Source organism: Homo sapiens, chromosome 9 (assembly GCF_000001405.40).
Source record: "Homo sapiens chromosome 9, GRCh38.p14 Primary Assembly".
Taxonomy (NCBI): Eukaryota; Metazoa; Chordata; class Mammalia; order Primates; family Hominidae; genus Homo; species Homo sapiens.
Window position 1 is genome coordinate 9707267 of NC_000009.12, and position 27310 is coordinate 9734576.

General features: G+C 35.4%; 1 protein-coding gene across 38 annotated transcripts in view; it reads right to left on the bottom strand.

Annotated features, from left to right (window-relative positions):
• Positions 1-27310, bottom strand: part of PTPRD (protein tyrosine phosphatase receptor type D) — a 2298757-nt gene that overhangs the window by 1393021 nt on the left and 878426 nt on the right. For all 38 annotated transcript variants that reach the window (NM_002839.4, XM_017014961.3, XM_006716827.5 and 35 more), the window contains one exon: positions 27267-27305. The gene's annotated coding sequence lies outside the window, so the exon portion shown is untranslated. The remainder of the gene's footprint in view (positions 1-27266; positions 27306-27310) is intronic.

Below are 27310 nucleotides of genomic sequence, written 5' to 3' on the forward strand. Positions count from 1 at the left end.
ACAAAATAAGAATATTTTTGGGCAGCCTATCTATTTTGGGGCCTTAGAGATCACAGTTGTGAATAAATCCCTTCAAGTCACTATTCGATTTACACAAGATACAAATTATTATGTCAGAGATGAGATATATTTCATTTGTAATCCCTCTCTAATAGAACTTATAACAAAGTAGAGGACGTTGCTTGTTTTGATTGAAAATGGCATTTGATGTACAATAGAACCGGTACAAATAATTCATTCCTAAACAATGCTGGCATACTCACTGGAATAACAGCGTGATTATTGTTTAATTTTACATTATCTAGGATACCATCTCTAAAATAATGCAATAGCCTACATTTTTCTGAAGTTATTAGCAAAAAATAGTTTTGCCTATGAATTATCCAATAAATTAAGCTTTTTCCTTTAAAATACAACTTTTTTCTAAAATGTATAAAATACTTAAACCCTTTCTTATAGTCACATCATGTACGTTTATCTTATTTTTGATGATAGAGTTAGCAGTGCCACTATTCTATTGGCCTGCATTCTGCTATATAAAGGACTATTGAAACCTGTAGTTATTTGTCCACACAATCAATGACTCCACCTGCTATGTTTTGAAATTCCTTAGTCCTGTTAGAGTACTCATTATTTTCTCTCTTTCATTGTAACTTTTTACTTCTCATAGACATATACCTAGCAGTAAGAAATCTGATCACCCTTTAATGTACTTCTTTCATTTAGAAATACGAGATAAAAACATAGGATCAAGCTTATAAAGACTTGCTGTAAGCCAAGAACAAAGAGACTTTCAATGACAAAGAGATGTCTCCGTAAGAACTGGCACCAATAATGGTACAGATTACTACGTTGATTTAGTTCTATAGTTCTGCCTACGTTAGTCAAATTGACAAAACATATTTCTAGAAATAATATGTTTACAGAAAGTTCTGCAGTTGCTGGGCCCAATTTCATTAATTTTAGGACATTCCATCAGTGATGCATTCAGCTATGTGTTTACTCTTTCTCTCTACCTGGAGTTTCTCTTCAGAATGGCAATTCTCTTCCCTCATACTTTTGCTGGAGAGATCATCCAGGGTGAAAGATAAGAGAAGAAACCCAAATGAGACAGACTATATTTCATTTATTCTTACTAAAATATATTTAAATTTCAGCCATGTCTCCTTGGGAGGACTTCTGACTGGATTCACATTACATAGTCAATTATTTGCATTATTACTGCCATTATTGTTTTTGAATTGTCATTATTCCTATACTAGTGAGCTAATCACTGTCATTGAGTGTGAATTTTACTAACATAACTCTCAGAGGACAACCCGATTTCAAAGTCCTCAAGAGTATTTCACGGTTTTCCTAGTGTAGAGACAACAAAACTGTTTTACTTTTACAGACATTAAAAAAACTATATTAAATTTTAAAAAGAGAGATAAGTCTATACCCGTCAGATAACTCTTGATTGATGAAAATTCACTTAAAATTGGTAGAAACTTGCATAATACCTGGAGTTTCAAAAATATAATTCAGAATGCCATTGCAAGAAAAACGTGGTGTGTTTTCTATATTTTTGTTTAGTTACACCTCATTGTAAATTTAAAAAACACAATTTTTAAAATTATAATTCTGCAAACTAGAATATTTTCCCTTCCATTTTGTTAATCACAGAAGATCTTTCTTAGAGACTCTCCAGATTACATTATATAGCATCAATTATACCATGAGCTTCTTGAGGACAATAATTATATCTTTTCAAGTCTGCAGTCTTAATTTCATGAGTGAATGAATGTCAATAGTTTAAGATCTTATAAAACATTTTCTTACTCTGAATAAATTGGCATATAAGTTATAAGGTAAGAACTTGTGGTTTTGCAAGATTCAAATACCAAAACAAACTGAATATTTTTAAAATATGCTTAGTCATGAATGCTTAGTATTTTCTTACAACTTTCTATACCCCTATATTTTTATTTCTCTTTTGGATTGTGTATTTTGAAGTATTGTTATTATAAAATGCCCAAAATTAATTTTAATAAATGTTAAGATATCATCAACTAATATGACTTTCTATAACTTTCTCAATAATCTCTTAAAACTGAAATGGCAAGATACCACATGTGCACTCTTTTGCTGTGGTAAAGACATACATGTTATCAAATTTTACAGGTAGGCCAACACTCAGGTAGTAAACTATAGACCTGAACAATAAAAAACTAAAAATAAAACTGATAAATTAGTATAAAACAAGAAACAAATAATGAGCTACTTTGATTTATGGTATTCATTTCCATTTCACATAAGCAATCTATCTTAATACATACTACAAACCTTGCATCTGCTTTATTAAGTAGTACATTTCACATTCAGCCATTCTAAAAGAGAAAGATAGTATTTGGGTGATGGAGCAGATCATTTCTGTTTATCAGAAGGAAAAATTTAAGCAAATCTTAAAGGGGCAAATTTTTATAGTACTATTTGCTCTGTATTATTGACCTAAGTACTGTAATCACCATTGATATAGTAGACGTCATTAAATCATATTTTGTAAATTTAGAGATATTCCATTACAGATTGATTTCTCTATGTATACGTATGTATGAATATGCTTCCTGAGGAAACCTGTTTAATTAAATCCCATTAATAGAATATCCTTTTTCTGCATTGTACACGCATTTATGTAAATATATACAAAATTATCTTCTAGTCTGAAGGCGCTATAGTTCAGTGAATAGCATCATGCTGATTACATCCAATGAGCTTTTTAAAAGCAGATTTTGTTTCTTTAAAAAAAAAAATAGAATAGGTCTCTGCCATTCTTACCATGAATGCCATTTTGCTAAGCAAAAAGATTATCAGAGCAATCTGAATTTATCTGTGTAGCAAATACATTTTAGTACTTAGTATCATTTGTTACAAAATTATAATGAAGGTAAGAGAGGGAATTTACTCCATTTTCCTTTTTTTCTTTATAGAAACTAAAGCTCAAATAAGACTAGGTTATTTGGCTAATTTACATAGCTAATCCATAGCAAAAAGAAGGCAAAGCCCAGAACTCTAAAATTTAGTCTTAACTTCTTTCCACATATCAAGAGGTACTTGTACTTACAATGGGAAAGGTGATTAAGAAACTTACTTAATCACCTTTCCCATTATAAGATTTAGGCCTGCAGTAACAAAATTCAATTCATGGTAAATATGTAAAAACAGAAATTTTAATGGTTTTATTTCAAATACTTGATTCTCACTTATGAATTGGAAAGCAACTCATGGTGGATTTGAAGGATTGCTTCTTAATTCAGGTCATTCTGACTCCATGCAAAGATTTAATATCATCTATTCTGTTTTTTTTTTAATTTAGGAGATTCATAAGATAATTAGAAAATTTTACTTCCTAAAAAATTAACTAAATTCCATTTTCATCTTCAAATTTCCTCTTTAAGGTATGAAGTACTATACTAATAATTTCTGAGTTGATCCAGAAAGTTGTCTATCCACATTAACATTATTGACACCAACCTGTTGGACACACACACACACACAGCAGTTTCTAGAATAATGTTATTTCATTCAATACCGTTTGCTAAAAATATTGATGAGAAGAAGACATGATTTCCAGCCAGGGCCGTGATTTGTATGGAATTTGCATGTTCTCTCCAGGTGAACTGGCACATCTAAATGGTCCTAGTCTGAGAGCGAGCGAGCGAGAGAGAGCGTGTGTGTGTGTGTGTGTGTATGCACACGACAACGTGTGAATGTGCCCTACGATGGAATGGCATCCTGTCCAGAGTTGGTTCCCACCTTGTGCCGAGCTACCTGGATAGGATCAGGCCATGCGAGACCCTAAACTGTAATAAGCAGGTAAATTATTGTTTTTACTAATCATTCTAAAACATATGTATAGCTCATATTTATTTTAATGTTTAATATTAGAAGTGATTTAAGTGCTTGAATCTTTAAAAAATGCAGTGATGTGTTTGTGAGCAGAAATATGCCATAGGAACTGTATTCTTGTTTATATCAATTAACCTTTGGTAAAATTGGTTTCCTAATATGTTGTTTCACTTAAGACGGCAGTTTCCAAGAATCTACCAACGATGATAAATGAGGTATTACTGTACTTCGTTGGTAATATATGCACTTTGTTCCTATTTACTTTGTATCTATTATTAGAAAAACATATAACTCTGGCAACAATAACAAAAACAGGCTAAAATAAAATTATATGCCTAATAATAATAATTATAATTAGACTACTTAATATCTTGTTTTAATGATAAATTCTCAGAGATGGGACATATACTGAGAGTATACTATTTCTATTGGAGCTATGTCCACTTTATTCCAGTGGTTCTCAACAAAGGGTAAACTTACTCTCCAAATGGTGACATTCTCAAGGTCAACAGACACTTTTGATGATCAGAACTGGCTAGTTACTACTACATGTAGCGGGGAGAAACTAGAGACACTGCTAAGCGTTCTGTAATATATATAGCATGACCTTAAATGTCAATAGTGCAGAGACCGAAAAACTCTGCCTTTCAAACAGCTCTCTTATTTTGAGCTGGATTCACACAGCCTCAATAATTAGACATGCCTGATTCAGAGTCATGGCATGATTTCCTAGCTAAACCACTACATCTAACTATATGAAGGGTTGTTCACTGGGAAAATAAGCCAACAGCATCTCCCTGGGCACAAATACTGTCATTCTGATGCATGAATGTACATAATTTTTCCTTTAGCATTCAATTCAGCATTAGCATTGTGAGATCTCGCACCGACTTAGCAAAACTCAAAAATTTAAACAAGTTTTTCGTTGATTTTAACCTGCGGAATTTAATTTTGAGTTTCTATGGCATTTGAAACCAAATATAAAATTATAACAATAAGAGTATCCATTAAATTTTTTTTGTCTCTTACTTCTGATTTACTTTATCAATGAACATTAAAAAGTAGCCATCTGGACTGAGAAAGAAAATAATAACATTTCTCATTTTTAAAAGAATTCGGTAATAACCATAAGCACAAAGAAATAAAATTCATCAGATTTTTTTCTCCTATTGCTTCAGCCTAGGGACACAGTGATAGGCTGACAAATCTGAATAGGAACATAAACTTTGATTGTAATTTAATTAAAAAAAATTATTTTACTTTTTACTCCAGTTCATTAATATTTTTAATTCATGCACTTGCCAAAAGCATGATGCTCTCTTTCAGTCAAAAACACATTGAACCCGCAGGGAAGAAATACTACCCCACGAGTAAAGGTTCCTTCCTCAGCTTGTCAAGAAAGTCATTCCAAACTCAAACAATGGCAGACGGCAGATCTTGCTATATAACACATCTATTCTATGATACACTGCCATTCTTGAACGTACATGTATCCTTCAGAAACTACAATGGATTATAATACAAATTAGGCTGACAAAAGTTCTCTTAGTTTATCCATTGGTCTCAGAATAATGCAGATTTTCTTGCTTCATCTGAGCACTTAAAACTCAATAATATGCCAGACCTACCTAAGAAATGCCTTAAAAGTAGTTTATTATCTAGCATAGCTTTCAAAAAGAGAAAAAACTATTTTATGGTATTTGTTTTTAATAGGTTATGTTATTGCTATAGTGACAGAAAGAACTGAAAAGACCTACTGTATGTATCCTTGTATAAGAAATACACAAAACATTAATGAAAAAACTCATTTGCTAAATCAGTCGCTAATCTTGTCCAGTTTAACTTTCTGTAATCCCTGACAAACAATCCTAATATTCATCACTCATCAAGTCATGCACAAACTTTTAAATAAAATAATTGTATATGGGCAAGATTATTCTACTTGGCAAATGGCCTATTGCACTGATATCCACCTTTGGTTTTTTAGAAATGAAATAATCACAGTCTTGCAGCTTATTTCTGCCAGAAAACTTCAGACAGAAAATGTGTATTAATACAATACTCTATGTCTGCCTAAGAATAAGCTTAAAGACACAAATTCTCCTTCTATATTGTTGAAATAAAACAGAATCATAGACCAAGAAAATTAGAATGGGGAAAGGGAATATTTCTAATGAGTTAGGAATGATTAAGTAAGATGCATCAAAAATGTCACTCGTCCTCTTAGATATCTAGACTCTATGCTATGCATTATGGAGGACAGCAAGAAATGTGAGCCATAATTTTGTCCTTGATTACAATTAATGGAGAAGAAAGGAATTATAAATATTTAGAAAAATATTATAACAACAGATTATGCCAAGTGCAAACTATAGGGTTCAAAGCATAAATGAATATTATCCAAGACTATGAGAGATTTTTGACATTTTGAGACATTATGCAAGAAGCAAAATTGAGCTGGTCCTTGAAAGGATGGGTCGATTTAGAAAAATAAATGCAGAGCTTCATAAATCACCGTTTCAAGAGATGAGGACATTATATAAACTATTCCATTCATGCTTTTATTACAGGGACAGTGGGAGGAAAGAGAACAGAATATTGGTAGAACTAATCTTCAGCATGATGTTGGCAGATCTCAATAAAATTATGGCCACTTGTCTCCAATGTTACAATTCAGGGCTTTGGAGAGTCTTATTTTATAGGCTTCCTCATTAATCATGGGATGTCTTTCTCCAAACTTATGTTTCTACAGTGTAAGTGTGAGATGCTCTCAAAAGAACTTCCAGGAAGGTAGGTTACCCTCCTTACTTGTAGACACCAGCAAGCTGGTTTTTATCTCCAAAGTAGAATGTCTTGGACCCAGTGTAGCTTATGCAGATATATAAATGGCACAATGACCCCAGTACATCTTTTACAAGATGTTGTTCACTTGCGCAAAAAAAAAAAAAAAAAAAAATTTGAATACAAGGGACACTGATTTCCTTCACTAAAGCTTCCTGTATTTAAAGCTGAAATGAAGTTGCACTTTTTACTCTTAATTGATTTATATGCTACTTTTACCATGGGGCTATAGCACATGTTGTCTTGTAACTGTTTTTCAGAGAAGGGTCATTAGGTTGATATATTTTTGTACAGCAACAGGAATGACTGCTCTGCTAAATCACTAAAAATTAAGACAAAGACAAACTGAAATCTGCAAGGATTGACTTGGCTTCTGTCCATAGCCATATCATTCTTGGCAAATGTGAAACCATTTTAAAAGTTTTTATTATTGGCATGGAACATATTTTGGCATACACATATACAAAATGAACATTATAATGACAATAAGAATACCACCTTGTTAGTTTAAATCAGTAAGAATATTGATTACTCAGTAATGTAATTCAGACTATTAGCTAGGTTTTGCCAAAAGTAAAGTAACCCTGTATTTCTTTAGCATATCTTGCAGAAAATTCAGATTCATCTAAAGGAAACAAATAAATAAAAAACATTCTAACAATGAAAAGAGAAAATACAGTGAGTACTGAAGAGTGGTGGAGCTGATCATACTGATAGCTGTGAGTTCTCTGCTGATGGTGGGAGGTGGGTGGCAGAGCCCATGGAGGTGAAAGATCTAAAAGTTCAAGGCAGCAATGTTCCTTCTGAGTTTGAGAAATATCATTTAGCAGGGTAGATGCTCAATATTCCTTTCCTTCCTTTATCCTGATATGAAAAATGGAGATGTTGTGGTAAATAGGGGGGTAAATTGGGCATGGAGGAAGAATTAAAATATTTAGTATATTATGTTTTTTATTGTTGGCTTATGTTCATGACTATTGTGTTTCTTTTTTCAGCTTTTAGGGGAAGAAGAAAGTACCAGCAATAATTCATTTCTTACAGAATTTAGCTGTGGTTTCGTAGAGAAGAAATTAGAAGACCTGGGTTTATGCTGGATCCTCGTCCAAATAACTTTGTGACTTTGGGCAAATTACTTTATGTCACTGGACTTCACATTTTCTGTATGTAAAGCAAGATGTTTTGATTACATTCTTCCACTGGTATGCGTACAATTATGGTACTGCAATTTATGACTTTCTGTTCCTACTATATTGCGGGCAATTTGAAGGAAGACAATACATTTTTCAACTCTAAATTCTCAAGGCTTGACACTGGTTGGCATACAGTTAATGCTCTGTAAATGTTTGTTGAATTGACTTATGTTGATTATCTTACTTCCAAGTCCTTGCAGAAATGACGTGTTATAAATAACCTCTCTATCATTTCATAACATTAGTGATAGAAAGCCGTATTAGTGCCTTGGTGGGAGCCAAGAAATAAAAAAATAAAAAATATATTTTCTACAACAAAAAAAATTAAGATGGACAGTTTTACTTGATTTCTGAAATCAGAGAACAAACACCTGTTCCAGTAAAACTGAAAAGACAAAATATACATTAACTAAATCTGTGGAAACCCTCAACTTCAAATAGAATCTAGATAGAGATACTTCATCTGGATGGAGAAAATAATACATCGCAGTATTAAGAGAATGTATTTGTTCCTAACAATGAGCTCTTTCACTTCAATATTAAAATCCTATTTCAAAGAGAGGTTAATCAAAGCTGAAGACTATTGTGTATTGCGATTTTCACAGAATATATAATTCTAACACGGACCCCTTTAATAATCAAACTGTTGCTAAGAAGCTTCTTTTGTTATTATTATTATTATTATACTTTAAGTTTTAGGGTACATGTGCACAATGTGCAGGTTAGTTACGTATGTATACATGTGCCATGCTGGTGCGCTGCACCCATTAACTCATCATCTAGCATTAGGTATATGTCCTAAAGCTATCCCTCCCCTCTCCCCCCACCCCACAACAGTCCCCAGAGTGTGATGTCCCCCTTCCTGTGTCCATGTGATCTCATTGTTCAGTTCCCACCTATGAGTGAGAATATGCGGTGTTTGGTTTTTTGTTCTTGCGATAGTTTACTGAGAATGATTATTTCCAATTTCCTCCAAGTCCCTACAAAGGACATGAACTCATCATTTTTTATGGCTGCATAGTATTCCATGGTGTATATGTGCCACATTTTTTTAATTCAGTCTATCATTGTTGGACATTTGGGTTGGTTTCAAGTCTTTGCTATTGTGAATAGTGCTGTAATAAACATACGTGTGCATGTGTCTTTATAGCAGCATGATTTATAGTCCTTTGGGTATATACCCAGTAATGGGATGGCTGGGTCAAATGGTATTTCTAGTTCTAGATCCCTGAGGAATCGCCACACTGACTTCCACAAGGGTTGAACTAGTTTACAGTCCCACCAACAGTGTAAAAGTGTTCCTATTTCTCCACATCCTCTCCAGCACCTGTTGTTTCCTGACTTTTTAATGATTGCCGTTCTAACTGGTGTGAGATTGTATCTCATTGTGGTTTTGATTTGCATTTCTCTGATGGCCAGTGATGGTGAGCATTTTTTCATGTGTTTTTTGGCTGCATAAATGTCTTCTTTAGAGAAGTGTCTGTTCATGTCCTTTGCCCACTTTTTGATGGGGTTGTTTTTTTCTTGTAAATTTGTTTGAGTTCCTTGTAGATTCTGGATATTAGCCCTTTGTCAGATGAGTAGGTTGCAAAAATTTTCTCCCATTTTGTAGGTTGCCTGTTCACTTTGATGGTAGTTTCTTTTGCTGTGCAGAAGCTCTTTAGTTTAATGAGATCCCATTTGTCAATTTTGGCTTTTGTTGCCATTGCTTTTGGTGTTTTAGACATGAAGTCCTTGCCCATGCCTATGTCCTGAATGGTAATGCCTAGGATGTCTTCTAGGATTTTTATGGTTTTAGATCTAATGTTGAAGTCTTTAATCCATCTTGAATTGATTTTTGTATAAGGTGTAAGGAAGGGAACCAGTTTCAGCTTTCTCCATATGGCTAGCCAGTTTTCCCAGCACCATTTATTAAATAGGGAATCCTTTCCCCATTGCTTGTTTTTGTCAGGTTTGTCAAAGATCAGATAGTTGTAGATATGCGGCGTTATTTCTGAGGGCTCTGTTCTGTTCCATTGATCTATATCTCTGTTTTGGTACCAGTACCATGCTGTTTTGCTTACTATAGCCTTGTAGTATAGTTTGAAGTCAGGTAGCGTGATGCCTCCAGCTTTGTTCTTTTCACTTAGGATTGACTTGGTAATGCGGGCTCTTTTTTGGTTCCATATGAACTTTAAAGTAGTTTTTTCCAATTCTGTGAAGAAAGTCATTGGTAGCTTGATGGGGATGGTATTGAATCTATAAATTACCTTGGGCAGTATGGCCATTTTCATGATATTGAGCTAAGAAGCTTTTTAATGAAGTCATCTTTCAATGTAAGCATATATAAAACTCACTCATTTTGTTTACATTACTTTTGTGGTCATTTCAACCAGTGTTTAACAAGTTAGTTTTGAAAACAGCAGACATGGAAGGAATGATTCAAAACAAAGATGTCTTATGATTTCAGGGGAATATTTTATTACAAATATGGAACACTTAACCCATGAACTTAGCTCCACAAGTCTTTGACAATTTAGGGAATAATGGGAATACCAAGCCAGATTTCTGTGCAGTGGATGGAAGGAATTAATCTTAGCAAGGTAAACCCTTGTTTTTGATTTCTCAGACCCTCCATTTATAAAAATAATATGGGAACATACAAACCACTTGATACTTTTATCTGTAAAACACTTAGGGCAAAAAATATATATTATTATAGGAATCAAAAAATTAAAAATAAAATTAGCATTGGAAAGACTTGAAATAAAAAAATCCATTTTGTCTTTGTAAATCTAAGTATAAATTCAAATCATCCTCAGCTTTCCAAAAAATACCCTCACAAAATTTCCTTACCTACTGGGGTGAAATAGGCATTGCTGTTAAACGATGCTAACTAAACGAATTCTGCTCTTTTCAGAAAATAGTATATATTTTACAAATATCCTTCTTTAGTTTATCAAGAAATAGACACAAATACAACAAATACTTGAGTTATACATTGGCTTTCTTTAAAGAAAGTACATGAAAATATTTTCTTTTATAAGAGGAGATGGCATTGAAAACATGAGTATGAAAATAGCAACATTAAAGAAAAATTCTATCATGCTAGCAGGAGTTTCATGTTCATCTCTATATGAAATTGTATGCATTGAAGTAAAAAATAAACACTGACGGCTGCAGAAGCCCATCTAGAGTGGCCGCTGTGAGGATGCCAGCTGCAGCAGGGGAGGTGCAGCTGGGGCTGTGTGCTCCATGGAACTGATGGGGGAGGGGAACAGGTGATCCCAGTGGGAGCCCTGCGCCCAACTAAATAGTGAGGTGGGAGCTCCTGCTCCCAGGCACAGCTGCAGCTGCCCAGCCACGGCTCCAGACCCAGGCATCCCTGTGCTCTCAGAGACCCAGGAAGCCCCCTTCCCCTGCAGGCTCAGAAGTGCCTCTGCACCCACTCCCTGGCCTCTCCCTGCTCCAAGCACCTGCTCTGTGGTGGAGCAAAGTTGTGGACATGTCCCAATAGCTAAGCCCAGGTGCTGTTGTGACCTGGTCAGGTGTGCCTGTACTTGGGGGCAGCACTGACATGCTGGTCCCCTGCTGTCTTGGCCCCCTCTGGAAACTGCTTCTGAGGCTAAAACTTTGGGTGCCAACAAGCACAGGAGGGAGGCTGGGTGTCTGAGATTGGCTTGGCACGTGCCTGGTGTTGACCCTCGGCAAAGACAGCCTGGACACCATGGAGGGCACATTAATGGCAGCCGGAGGCAGACAGGTTCCTAAGTGGGAAGCTGTGGGTCCCTGGTGAAACCCACCTTCAAGCCAGGGATGACCTGAAGCCTGGGGGCCAGGATGCCAGTTTTGGGTGGAGTCAGTGACCTGGAGTCAGAACTTCCTTGATGTCTTATGGCCAGTTGAATGGTGCTTTTTCCAGGCCTGTCCATGGCCACTCACTGACAAAACAGCATGCACTTCTGCCATTCTGAGCCCATAACATCTCCAGACTCAGCCAGATCCAGAGACTTGTGAGGATGACCTGCCTGCAGATAGGAGCTACCCACTTCAGGTAACCTCTCTGCTGAGAGCTGTGCTGTCACTTAATAAAGCTCCTCTCCACCATGTTCAACCTCCAGTTGTCCACATAACCTCATTCTTCTTGGACATGGGACAAGAACTCAAGATCCACCAAACAGTGGGAGTGAAAAAAGCCATAATATATTTCTGGCCAGCTTGCTAAGTCATGGGCAGTGACATGCTCCTGGACCACAGGATTGAAGAGTGGTGAACCTTCTGGGGGCTCAGACCTCTGGATTCCCCAAGCCAGAGCTGCTTTAACGTCATAGCCCTCCTGCCCTCTGCTGGTACCAGGCAGCTTCCCCAAACAGGAAGCAGCAGCGAGGCAAGCCAGCCCAGGATTTGCAGGCCAGAACAAGGTGGCAGGACTGAAAGAGTTGTAACACAAACGGTCTGAAACACACCTGCTCTGCAACATCCCCCTCACAGCTCGCTATGCTGCGGCGGTGAGGGGAGAAGGGCTGTAAACCTTCTGGGATCCCCGACCTCAGGGCTCCCCATGTCAGGGCTGTGTCATTCGGTAACACCCTCTTTGGGGTTCTGCGGTTTCTGGCATCTCTACGCTTTCAGGCGCACTGCATTCCCCTCATCCGGACATTGGTCCTACAGTAGAAGCCTCTTGCAGTACACCTGGTCCAGTCTCAGTCTCTCATGGTGCTGCCACCTGTGCTAGTGCGTGGAGCTGCCAGCGCTGCTCAAGTAGCCAACATGACTAACTGTGTGCACTGGCAGGACCCCACGCTTGATTGTTTACACACCCTTGCCACTCCACACCTGGCTCACCCTTGGCAGGCATGGGATCTGTGTTGGTAGCACGAGCCAATCAAAGACTGCAAGGCTGAGTGGGTGAAACTAGCCCAGCAGGCATGAGCAAAACTCAAGCAGAGGTGCTGTTGACCCCAGATGTTTCCAGCTGGCAAAGTGACATCCTGCATCAACATCTTATAATCGTTTACTAGGTATAAAAAAGGGGTAGCAGTGAGCATTTTCATCCAAAGTAGATCTTCATAATTGGAAATAATTTACACTTATACTCTCACTTTATAGATGAGAAATCTCAGATACAGAGATTGCAAATTGTCAACAGTCACAGAAGAAGTCAGTATTAAAAGAGCCCTACAACTGAATCTCAAGGAACATAAAGAGTTTACTGGAGAAAAATATCATTTCCATAGCTATATATGTTCCAACCAAGAATATGTCACTAGGCGTTTTACATTCTTATTTACTTAAGGACATGAAGCCGAAAGTCAGAAGTTAGGACAGACTTAGAAAATACTGGCAGGGTAGTAAACATATATAGAATGACTGTGTGTTGCTTTGAGTTAGAAGTGATGGGAATAACCTGCCACCTCCATACGTGAATCTAAATCCCATGCAGGTGACTACTACTGAGAAAATCTGGCTTCATTTGCTGCATTGAGACAGTGCAAAAAATAAGAGTGTTCATAAACATACATACACAGGAGTTTAAATTGCAGTACTATTCACAATAGCAAAGATATGGAATCAACCTAAATGCCCATCAATGACAGGTTGGATAAATAAAATGCGATATATATACACCATGGAATACTATGCAACCAAAAAAAAGAATGATATCATGTCTTTTGTTGGAACATGGATGGAGTGGAGGATGTTATCCTTAGCAAACTAATGCACGGACATATACCCCATGTTCTCACTTCAAAGTGGGAGGTAAATGTTAAGAACTCATGGAAGCAAAGAGGGGAACAACACACTGGAGACTATTTGAGGGTGTAGGGTGGGAGGAGCAAGAAGGGTACAAAAAAAAATAACTGTTGGGTACGAGGCTTAGTACCTAGGTGATAAAATAATCTGTACAACAAACCTCTGTGACATGAGTTTATCTATATAACAAACCTGCATATGTACCCCTGAAACTAAAGTAAAAATTAAATAAAATACTAAAGTGTGGATAAACATCTTTTAAAAAGAGTATAGAAAGTTGCAATAGAGGATCATGGAATATCTTCAAGACATCTCAGATTTTATCATTAAATTTAAAAATTATAAAATGTATGTTCATTCCCACCAAATATATTGCAAAATAATAAAATAGATCCCCTAAACTTTTCTCTTCTAAATTTGACAAGGGGACAAAAGAGTATAAGGACTATACTATTTTTAATGAGAGAGAGAAAATAGTCTTGCTCCTTTGTAGAAATAATTTATAAGAATATGCCACAATAAAGCCTGAAGTATGTGCCTCTATTCTATAGGGGGCACAGGTTCAAAACAAGATATTTGACCTATTTTCCACTATGAGAACAGGATTTTTTACTTTAATTCCTTAGACATGACAAGTTGATAGGAAAAGCCCGCATTTTGCTAAGATACAGTCATGATGCTACGGGAGTTAAATGAACAACTTTACTAAAGTCTTGGTCAATCTGACTTTAGTATTCTGGATTTATGATGTCATGTGTTTAAACTCTCCCTGATAAAATTATTAAAGAGATAGACCCTGAGGTCACATAAATTCTTACCCATATCTCACTTGTTTGTCATTCAGGTCATTTCTATGTTTGTTGGAAGGTGAATTAATCACATTAGTAATAAAAATTAACAGCACTGAATCATTTTAGTGCATTGAAATGTGGAATGAACAGTAATAATCAAAGAGTAGGAAAACAATAAAATCTGAGTTCTTACATAAGAATTTGAGTTGTGAATACCAGGCAAGGCTTTTGTACATATGATTTTTTAAATATTTTGGTTTATGCCTAGATTAAGGTATGTGTGAGTGTTAGAGAGTCTTATCTCCTTAAGTTTTAATATATCATATTTATCCCAGTTTCTTTTTTTTCTCCCTTTTTAAGGAATCACTTTATTAAGATATATTTTACACACCATAAAACTCTCCCTTTTAAAGTATACAATTCAGCAGTTTTTTTGTTAACTCACAAAGTTGTGTAACCATCACAACTACTTAATTTTAGAACATTTTTTAAATCCCCAAAAGAAATCCTATACTTATCAGCAGACAGCCTCTTCTTCTTCCTCAGCTCTTGGCAACCAAATCTATGGATTTCCCTATTCTGGATAATTCAGGTAAACATAATAATAAAATATGTGGTCTATTGTAACTGGCTTCTTTCAAATAGAATAATGTTTTCCAGATTCATTCATATTACAGCACGTAACAGTACTTCATTTCTTTTACTTTTGGAAAAATAGCATTGTAAAATCTATACCATATTTAAAAAATTTATTCATCAATTGATGGACATTGTGATTGTTTCTATTTTTTAGCTGTTATGAATAATGTTCCTCGGAATTTGGGGGCAAGTTTTTATATAGACATATATTTTCATTTTTCTTGTGTACATACCTAAGAGTAGAATTTCCAAGTCACGTAGTAATGCTGTGTTTAATCATTTGAAGAACTGCTAAACTACATCTGAAGTGTCTGCATCATTTTGCATTCCCACCAGCAATTGATAACAATTCCAATTCCTCCACATCCTTGACAACACTTAATATCTGACTTTTTGATTCTAGGCATCCTAGTGGGTGAGAAGCAGTACCTTGTGGTTTTGATTTGCCTTTCTTTGTTAACTAGTGATTTTCATATGCTTTTGACCATTTCTATACCTTTGGAGAGATTTCTATGCAAGTCATTTGCATTTTTTAAATTGGGTTGTCTTTTTATGTTTGAGTTGAGCTCTTTATATATTTTAGATGCTAATGTCTTATTGGATATATGATTTCACAACACTTTCTCCCATTCTTTGAATTATGTTTTCACATTTTTGATGGCATTATTTAAAGCACAGAAGACTTTAAGTTCAATGAAATTCAATTTATCTATTTTTCTTTGATGTTGTAGTTAAGAACCACTGTGTAACACAAGGTCACAAAGATTTACTCCTATGTTTTCTTCTAAGAATTTTATAGTTTTGCCTTTTATATTTAGGCCTGTGATCTATTTTGAGTTATATGTGGTTTGAGATAGGGATCTGACTTCATTCTTTTACATAAGACTATCCAGTTGTCTCAGCACCATTTGCTGGGAATAAAATATTACTTTCTCCATTGGGTTATCTTGGCACCTTTGTCAAAGATCAGTTAGCCATAAACTTATGGCTTTATTTCTGGACATTCAATTCTATTCCATTGATTTATTCGTTAGGCCAATTTTGTCTATGCTTGTAACAATGCCATACTTCATTGATTCTCATGGTTTTATAGTAAATTTTGAAATCAGAAACTATGAGTCCTCCTACTTTGTTCTTTTTTAAAGATTTGGCTATTCTGGGTCCTTGACAATGCCATGTGAATTTTAGAATCAGCTTGTTAGTTTCTACAAAGAAGTGAGCTGGGATTCCGATTGAGATTACATTGAGGTTGCAGATCAATTTGGGGAATACTGCCATCTTAACAATGTTAAGTCTTCCAATCCATGAATATATTTTTTCCATTCATGTAGATCTTTGGTTTTCCCCATTAATTGAAGTTTTCTGAATATCAGTTTTACACCTCTTTTGTTAAGTTTATTCTTAAGTATTTTACTTGATACTGTTTTGAATAGAAGTGTTTTCCTATTTTCATATTTGGGCTGTTCATTACGAATGTATAGAAATATCATTGGTTTGTAAAGTATTAATCTTGTATCCTGAAACCTTGCTGAACTCATTAGTTCTGATATATATTTAAGTAGATTCCTTAGGATTTTCTACATATACAATTATGTAATCTAGAGATAGAGATTCTTTCCAATGTGGATCCTTTTTATTTCTTTTTCTTTCTCAATTGCCCTGGCTAGAACCTCCAGTACAACGTTGAATAGAAGTGGCCACCACTTATCACTCCTGGCCAAAATTATTTATGTCTTCTTTTAATAAAAACATTAAGATGTTTTTTGTTATTGTTGTAGCTAAATTCATGTGATTGACTTCTAGTTTCAGTACAGTCTTTAGAAAATGTGAATTGTACATTTTTGGGGATCACCTTTAAAGTTGTCTCTGTTTCAATGTACCTGTTCTTTTTTAAAGGTTGCATCCAAAGTTTGAGATATATCTTTTATCTTAGGTCAATATTTGAAATAGTCATTCAAGGAAACATCACAGTTACAGATTAAATGCTTTTGAGGGTGTTTATCATCTCTCAAAGCTCAACTCAATAAACATAGTGTTCAAGTTGTGTGCTTAATAGGCCTTTGCCAGAGTTACGTCACTTGTACTTTCTTTCCCAGAATGGAAATAACCTGATGTACATATGAATATATATTGAGGTAGTAAGGCTTGGATAGCCTTACTCCCATAATTAAATCCTGTATAGAGCAGCCAACTATATTCAACTGTGAGGTCTTTACTCAATATTAACAGATCCTTAAGTGGATGAAAGAAGGTCACAGAATGCTTGGAAAGTATTTCTGATCCAGTTGAAGAAAGCATTAGATCAAAATGTGAAGGATGAAGGTGATAAAAATGATAGACAACACTTCTTGCCTGATATTGTTGTAAGCACTACAAAAGTTGCATGTAATATCTTTACAACTGCTCTTTAAGGTATCCCCATTTACAGTGGAGGAAATGGAGGTACACAGACATTAAATAACTCACCCAAGTTCATGCAGGTAACAAGTGATATAGCTGGGATTTGAGCCTAGGCAAACTAACTTCCAAACTGTCCTCTGATTACTAAGCTACAGTACAATGAAGATCAATGGCAGAGGAGTGGTCAGAACACTACCTGGCTTTGGGAGACTCGCAGAGTTTATTTGGTGTCCCTTCCTGCATTCCCTACTTTGTCACCCACATTATCAAGAGGGAAACAGGAAGATTTCAGACTGCATAAGTGGGGAGAGCTGGTAAAATATCTGGGGTAGGTTAGTCAGAGTGTCCTTAACACATCCTCTTTTGCTTCAAAGGTGATATGGTTTGGTTCTGTGTCCCCAATCAAATCTCATCTTGTAGCTCCTAAAATTCCCTCGTGTTCTGGGAAGGATCTGGTAAGAGATAACTGAATCATGGGGGCAAGTCTTTCCCATGCTGTTCCCATGATAGTGAATAAGTCTCATGAGATCTGACGGTATTAAAAATGGGAGTTTCCCTGCACAAGCTTTTTTTTTTTTTGCCTGCTGCCATCCATGTAAAAGACATAACTCACTCCTCCTTGCCTTCCACCATTATTGTAAGGCCTCCCCAGCTACGTGGAACCATAAGTCCATTAAACGTCTTTTTCTTCCTATTCTCAGCTTATGTCGTTATCAAGAGTGTGAAAATGGACTAAGAAAGGCTAAGAGAAAAGGCACTGAAGCTCTAACCACATAAGCACTTTATCTGAGCACTTCCTCTGTCTACATTCAGGGCTTGCTTAATAAGTTGGTTCTCCTTATCTCCATTCCATTTTTGTCTCATATTCTGGTTTCTTGAATTTCATTTCCAGATTGACATTATTTGTAATTATTCAACTACATGTTTGTAGAAAGAAACAAATGTGTATGTTTATTTTTCTTCAAGAAGAATAAACATTTGAGAAGTTTTCTGTGGTGACAAATATTTTTGTGAAAATTAGTGACAAATTATTATACTTTGGGGAACTGTAGGACATTTTTTCTTTACAAGAGAATTCTTCTTTCAAGATAGCCCTCACAACAAAACTTGGCTATGTCTCTAATCGTTGGATGTTTCATTCTCTCTCTGTCTTTCCCAGCAGTACGCATTGTTTAGGGAAGCAGATGACTTCAGGACAGTCATGTAAAAGACAAGACAAATCCCAACCAAGCCAGCGTTAGGGGTAATACAGTAACTACATGGCTATGAATGTTTGAAACAGTATTAATTTGATTTGTTAGAATTTAAGTAGAAAAATAAGAAATTTCTCATTGTTTTTTAAGGACAACTTGTACATCTATTAAACAGAACATTGACATTGCTATAATACCAAGAAAATGTTATCCCATAATTAATCTTCTATTAGGATCTGTCTCAGAACCTCCTCGGTTAACTCCATTCCATCCTACACCAAAAAAACTTCACTATCGGATATCCGCATAACACTGACATTGGCATGCACACATTCCAAGCATTTAACTGTCTTCCACATGTCCAAATCATACACCTTCCCAGGCTGTAAGGGGTATCTCAGAAGTAAGAAATGAAGATAAAGTGGGATTCCCATTCAGAGGTAGGTGGCCATAAGCAGGACAGTGTAAAATTATTTGTCTATACTCCATATTAGCATAACCTCATTCCCTTAAAGCCTGCCTAACAGCCCTACCACTTACCATTGTTCAGTGCTTTAGGAAGATGCTATGTTATTCTTTAAGCATGATTTTTTAAACCATTTTAGTTTAAATGTTAAACAGTTAAACTTATTGTGTAATATTTCATTTCAGGAATCTCAATCATCTTCCACTATTTCTCATTTGCAAAAATGGTAAGCCAATTCAGCATCAACTAGAAAATAGAAATAATATGTGAAAAGACATTTTCATATGTCTCAACATGTTTGTGGATAACTTTTCAAGGCTTACATCTTTCTTTGACATTAGAGTTTGTATAGCAAGAATGATACACAGGCTCAGGCAAAGTGGAAATATTCTCTTATTACAAATAAGGGAGGAGAATGAAAAATGGATAGGAGTGTCAGCTGAAAATTGTAGAATGTTCTGTATCAAGAACACATAATACTTGTTAAATAATAAGTACAGTGTTCTGAGTACCCAAGGTTTTGTTAAAAAGTATGTACAATAACAAACAGAGAATAATAAGCAGAGAGCTTTTGAAATTAGGGAAGAACTATAGGATAGTATTTATATTTTGGTGAACACCTGGAGAAGAGCTGCTTGATTTAGGACAGGAGGCAAGAAATCATACAGCAAATGTGTGCTTAATTAACCACAAAACGTTCTTTCAATGTATTAGCAATATGATAGATAATGTCAGACTTATTAGAATCACTATATAAATTATTCTTGGCCGGGCGTGGTGGCTCACACCTATAATTCTGGCATTCTGGGTGGCTGAGGCAGGTGAATTGTCCAGGAATTCAAGACCAGCTTGGGCAACATACTGAAACCCCATTTCTACTAAAAATACAAAAAGTTAGCCAGGCGTGATGGCACAAGCCTATAATCCCAGCTACTCAGAAGTTGAGGCAGGAGGATCACCTGAGCCTAGGATGTCAAGGGTGCAATGAGCCAAGATCGCACCACTGCACTCTAGCCTGGATAACCAGAGTGAGACCCTGTCTGAAAATTAAATTAAATGAAAATATCTTCATAAAAGCATTCATAAATATTTTATGTCAGATGAGAGGCTAAAATAAAAAAGTAGATAGTTTAACTTCCCACTAAGTGATCACTCTTCCATGTAGTCCAATTATTAACACTCTTAGTGTCAATTCCTTGGAGTGTTAACAAATGCATAAGTCCTATGCTACCCTGAGGGGCAATTATGAATATAATGTAATTTTTGCTTAATGCCAAAGAAACATGTTTAAACACTGGTAGTCCTTCTGAAATGAAACTTGCCGTCTTGTGAATGTTTAATGAATGCTATCCTGATGGTGAAATTAGGTGAAAAGCAAGCTGATACTCAGTGAATGAAAGCTATCGTAGGTATGTAACCTCTCAAGTTGGGTTGAACTCCACATGTAGGAATTCTGATTCTTACACATTGAATAAACTTTATAGAGGTAGATTTTAATGTCCTGATATGATTTGGCTGTGTTCTCAGTCAAATCCCATCTTGAATTGTAGCTCCCATAATTCCCATGTGTTGTGAGAGGGACCCATGGGGAGGCAATTGAATCATGGGGGCAGTTTCCCCCATACAGTTCTTGTGGTAGTGAATAAGTCTCATGCGATCTGACGGCTTTATAAGGGGTTTCCTCTTTTTGCTTGGCTCCCATTATCTCTTGCCTACCACCATGTAAGATGTGCCTTTCACCTTCTGCCATGATTGTGAGACTCCCCCAGCCACCTGGAACTGTGAGCCCATTAAACCTCTTTTTCGTTATAAATTACCCAGTCTCTGGTATGTCTTTATCTGCAGAGTGAAAACAAACTAATACATGTCCCATGAATATTTTAGAGGCTATTAGTGATTGACACAAAATACTTTATGAGTCATAATTTGTTGTGCCTCCTTCCTTAGTGATAAATTGAAATCCTTTTAATTCCAGGTAATTGTATACAATTATTTTTGATCTCTAGTCCTATGTGTGAAGAAAAGAAGTTTAACTAATTAGCTGTTGTAGAAATGAATGATGCTAGTTGGCATGTTGGTGGCATTTAAATTACTATGGATCCTAAAAAGTAAAAATGAAATAGCAGAGGGAGACTTCCACTCTAAAAGGTAAAAAGAGCCAAAGACATAGGAAGCAGGTGGTGATTCAGGTCATTCCAGAAACTAAGGCAAGAGTTGAACATAGTAAACTTTGGGCACCACATCAAAATAAAATTATCTAAGATACAGTGGCTCCTTTAATTTAGAAATTGTTGTTAGATGGTCTTTAATATGGATTGTTGCTTAATGACAGTTAAGATTAAAGAACTTCAACTATTATTAAAAGAATGCTGTCCATTTTCCTATTAGAAAGTAGACCATTTTGAGTGTAGATATGTATCTTGTAGATTTTTTCCTATTTCATGTTTTTTTAGTTTATCTAGTGACATTTGTTAAGTGATTCATAGTTGATTTTTATTAAAATTTGTAGTACTATTTATCCCAAGTCTTCTATTTTGGAGGCCTAAGTTGCCTGCTTTACCACACAAGTAAATGGTACTGCAGGTTATTTGGTAAAAGTCAGGAGAGAATTATTTCAAAGTCTAAAATAAAATTGTCAAAATATGTCTTTGGAAACGTGGCTCTAGATTTCAGAAATACCCAAACATAATAGCTCCCATTTCCGTTTGAGTAGTTTGGGCGGGCTTTATGCTGCTGTAACAAACAAAACAAAAATAAAATGCAACTCAGTTGCTTAAGAAAACAGAATTCATCTGTTGTTCAGATAAGTTAGCTGTGAAACTGGGAGTATCTTCACTGCAGCTGTCCTCCATCAGGTGACTCAGGGATTAGGAAGATTCAGTCTTGTGGCTCTACTGTCTCAAATGCATGCCTCCTCTACAATCTCCTTTGCAGAGGAAGAGAAAGACTGAAAATGCACATAGAGGATTTTTATCTCCTCTGCACAGAAGTGATATACTTTACTTCCATTTTCCCTTGGCCAAAAGTAATCCTATGACCACACCTAACTGCAAGGTGGAAGGAAAATATGATTTTCTATATGGTCAATAAAGAAAGAAACCCAGATATTAATGCACACCAATAGTATCACTCTCACCATCCTTATGATTTCTAATAACCTGCTATCCCAGCAAGCTAAAGGGAATAAAAGGCTTAAAGCAAATGCTCATAATTTTAAATAACTTTTTTAAAAATGATAAATAAAAGCACCTAATTATACAGGAAACATAAAATTAAGGTCCTTGAAGTTGGGGTCATGTCATATCCTTTTTATATTACCCAATCCCTATCAAATGGTTTGCAACAAAAAAAAAAATTGTGAGAGAACGAACATATTAGTAAATTCATGAGAGTATGATTCCTTCCTTTGGTCAGGGAACACATGATTTATGTTCATATCATGACATAAATTTACATCAGGATAGCATACTAGCAGTAATAACAACTTTAATAACTGTGTATAATGTTAAAATGTGCAAAGCATTATCATATACTATATGCTTAAAAAGTCAAAACTGTGAGATTGGTATATATGTTTGGTTTGTTCTCTACAATTTAAATACATAACATAACAACCTTGAAAACAGTAACATCATTTTAACACAAAACATTTAATTTTTGAGGGGAGAGTATCTTGTAGATAAAACATCAGAATATTTTTGGTACATATAAAAGAAATACACTTTTTAAACTCTCTAGATGGAAATAGCATTCAATTCTTGGAAAATACAATACTACATTTGAATTAATTTGTATTATTTGAAAGATATTGTATGACTAATGCTAAGCACATGAATTTAATTTGCAAGTTACCTATAATACTGTTAAAAAAAATTCAGGACGGCCAAACTTGCATAAAATTTGCATTAGAAAACTGAGAACACTAATGAGGAAATGAAACAGCCATTAATCATCATTGCGTGACTGCAGAAGGGTTAAGTGGGTTTCTATAGATTTTGCTTCACTTATTAATGACATGGTTTTACAGGTATAAAAGATATGTATACACAGATCCAAAATTGGGGCGTAGGCTGTGGCAATTTATTTCCCCTTGGATTTAAAGTAACTATCTCTGAATTTTTCTCAATAACTATATAAGTACAAAAGATAAAATCTTGTTTTAACTATCTATGTATAAACTTTCCTAAGAGCTCCAGATCAGGGTTACTACTCAAATATATGTAGAATTGGGTTTTATTAAAAACTTACTAGGATAATAGTATCTCAGTATATATAGTCTTTAGAGTCCAAAGGATAGACTGAAATCTCAGCATCTTGATTCATTAAGTATGAGACTGTAGATGAACTAATTAAGCTCTCTGACCATTAGTCTCATCTCTAAAGTGATATTAAAATGCCCTTTACAAAGTGAGACTGGAAGCATGAAATGAGAATACACAGATAAAGCACCTAGCATTGCACCTGACAAACGGTGAAAGCTTGAAAATTCAAATTCTCTTTGAGTGTACATCATTGTGCATATGTTATTATTTTGACCTCTTAAAAGGTCCAAAATCCAGGTGCAGAAAATAAAATACATGAATTGGAACAAATTGCCAGAACTACACACACAGATACAAAATTCAGTGATTCGTAAACATTAAACACATTACCTTATTTAAGTGAAAAAATGCTGCAATAAGATTTTCTGTAAATATTTTACCTGCTATGTAGGAAGTGTCAGTTCTTTACTTTGAAGTAAATTTTTACTGCTGGTATTTAGTTCCAGAGTAAATATTTTTTTTACTTGAGAATTATATCATAATTTAATGGAGTATTTTTAATGTATTTAATTTGGAATCTAAGTTTGCATATTATCATTTGTATTTCAATAGTACTCTGGTTTTAATTTTACATTTATTTTCATTTCTCTCAAATGGCACTCAGTTTTGTAGAGTGTATCATGATAATTCAGAATGTTTTTCAAATACTATTAACCATCCTTCACATTCACAGCATTGTTTTCTTTCAAAATGATAACTAGAAGCAAGCAATTCTAGAAATGGAAATTTAAGGTTTTTTTTTAATTATACTTTAAGTTCTAGGGTACATGTGCACAATGTGCAGGTTTGTTATGGATGTATACATGTGCCATGTTGGTATGCTGCACCCATTAACTCGTCATTTACATTAGGTATATCTCCTAATGCTATCCTTCCCCCCTCCCTACACCCCACAATGCAGCCATAAAAAAGGATGAGTTCATGTCCTTTGTAGGGACATGGATGAAGCTGGAAAACATCTCAGCAAACTATCACAAGGACAAAAAACCGAACACCGCATGTTCTCACTCATGGGTGGGAATTGAACAATGAGAACACTTGGACACAGTAAGGTTATTTTTTAAGTAAAGGTGAAATCCTAAATAAGTTAGTTAATTGAAAATATTGAGGAACTACTAAACATAGAGCAATGTGTTAGGTATGCTGCAGTAAAGAGAACAAGATGACATTGTTTCCTCATTTAGCAAACTTGCAGAATTGCTGAGTAGAAAACATGCACACAACACAAGAACCTTAGAACATATGACAGTGTAAGGTAAAGTGCTATGCTTTGTCATCTTAAAAACAAAGAGTTCAAGGACAGGGGGAATCAAACTACAATATTGAAAACAATGAAGACTTCCAGGAGAAAGTGGGACTTGAATTTGGCCTTGAGGAATGAATAGGAAATGGGGATACGAGCAGACACACTGATCATGCTGGTCACAGAAGCAGAAATAGTGATGGTGGGGCTTGTAAAGGGAGAAAACTGAACAACCTTATTAGCTTTGAGATTTCTGGTATGTACTGAAGAAAGATTGCTTTTGGATAACTGTGGCAATACTTAATTGTATAACTTGTATATCAAACTAGGGAAAAAAAACTCATACATTTTCCCACACTGGTCACATTAAAAAACAAACAAACAAACAAGCAGGAGAATAAGTGTTTTAGAATCCATCACCTGGTAGTATATTAAGAATGGATTTGAAATAAGATATATTAGAAGATAGAAGACCACCCAAAAGATCATTTTGGCCATCCAGAATTGGAAATTCATACTGACAATTTAAATGAAAAATGATGGAATTTAGGCAAAAGGACAATTACAGGAGGAGGGTCCAGATCCAACTTTTGCAACTAAGGACAGCTTTAGGATGGAAAAAGTATAGAGGACCTCTAGGATTTGTTATGATGGAAATGGGGAGGCAAAATTTGTGCTACCTAAAATACCCCAGTTCCTCAAGAAATGCTTAAGCAAAGCTTTCCATTTGCAGAAAGTGCTGAGGGAGATGGAAGGCTAACCCTCATTCTCATTTTGCGGCTAAATATTGACTAATACTTTGATGAATACTTTTAAAAATCATTAAGGCAGCCAGGGACCGTGGTGTGGCTCTGTCGTCTCAGCGATTCTGGAGGCTGAGGTAGGAGGATTTCTTGAACCCAGGAGGCCAGCATGGGCAACACAGTGAAACCTTGTTTCCAAAAAAAAAAATTACTAAGAAAAAATATAATTTCAAGTTCCTTTTGTTCATATTTATGGTTAAATATGTAGGACTGAATTCATCATTGTGAATAGGTATTTGTTTGGTAGAAATTTCTATTTACCACTCTCCAAAGGTAATGCAAAATTCTACTCAGGCCTAGTAAAAGCCTGCACAATGAAAGGCTAAACTAGTCTCGCAATAAACAGAAGCTTGCCTTCACTGTGGGCTGGTTAAAGTTATGACAGAACATTTTAATGTCAACTTATTCTTCACGTATCTTGCAGGACTCAAATATAAGGAATAAGACAGAGAGAAATATGTCAAAGTGTATTCTTCTGGGAGGGATGCAGACCCCAGTGGTTCATGGTGCACTGATGATGGAGAGAGACAAAGCATACATCTCTATGGGAAAGGCATCATTCAGTGGCTTTCTTAGTGATGAGATCTGATATACAACTTTAAGTTTTCTGTTTGTGTGCAATAATTCTGTTTAACCTCAAGTCTTCAGTAACGTTTGTTCAACATGACAGTTTACTATCAAATGTGGTACTGTTTGGTGGGAAGTGTGAACTTGAAGGATGAAACCCACATGGAAATGAAATGATTATAACATATTGAGAAATCCTGAAAGCATTTGGTTTTAGGAAGATAATGAACAACAGCAAGGAGATACTGGACCTTCACTGCTCTCCCACTCCCATCCAGCAATACCCAGTTATTACTAAATAATGGAGTACAAGATTGTATTTCTGCAGTCCATCAAGTTAGAATCTCATTCTTGGTTCAGTATTATGGAAAGGGTCACTGCGTCAGATGAGTTGGGACATCCAGTCTACACACGTATCTAAGCTAGAGATTTCTTCATAGTATTAAATGAGATAAAATGTTTGATAATCTTGTATACACTCAGAACATAGTAGGATCCCAATGTATGAATGTGATAGTGAGCAATATTTCAATAATATTTGAAGAAAAAAGACTGGGTGGATTCAAACATGAATACAAAGCTGCTGTTTGGAAAAATACACAACTTCACAGAAAACCTCCTATCTCAACCAGTACAGCTTTATCATCCCTGTAATGCATGTCCCAGGAAAATGTTGCAAGGATTTTAAGAGTTTCCATGTGGAAAAGATCAGTGTGTTCAGTGTGTTTCTAGCTTTACAACATGTAAATTATACTCTCAGCATTGTACTACTGAAAAACTTTTAAACACCCAATTTTTGTGTCAGCTCATCTTTGGTTTTTATCTTGCTTCTGCATTTGATCTATTTTTAAAGAAAAATTTTCCACATTTTACCGCATAATCCTCTGTCCTATCACGAACTCTTTCAGTGGGGATTTAATTTCCTTAAGAAACAAATGCTCCCTCTGTTTGGAATGTTCTTCTAACCCATGAAGTTGAATCTCCAAGAAGTATCTGGACTTATCATATTGTCTAATATTGGTTAAGATGTAACTGGACTTATGAGATTCAAACTCAGAAGATGGAAATGAGGGGAGATTTTTTTTTAAGGATTAAGCCTGACACAGAAATAAAAACATACTCCAAGGAATAGTGACAAACAAAATAAAAATATCAGAAGACTGAGAGTCCCAAAGAAAAAAATATCTCACCAGATTTTTGAAGTTACCAGAAGATCAAGGAGTCCAAGCCTGAT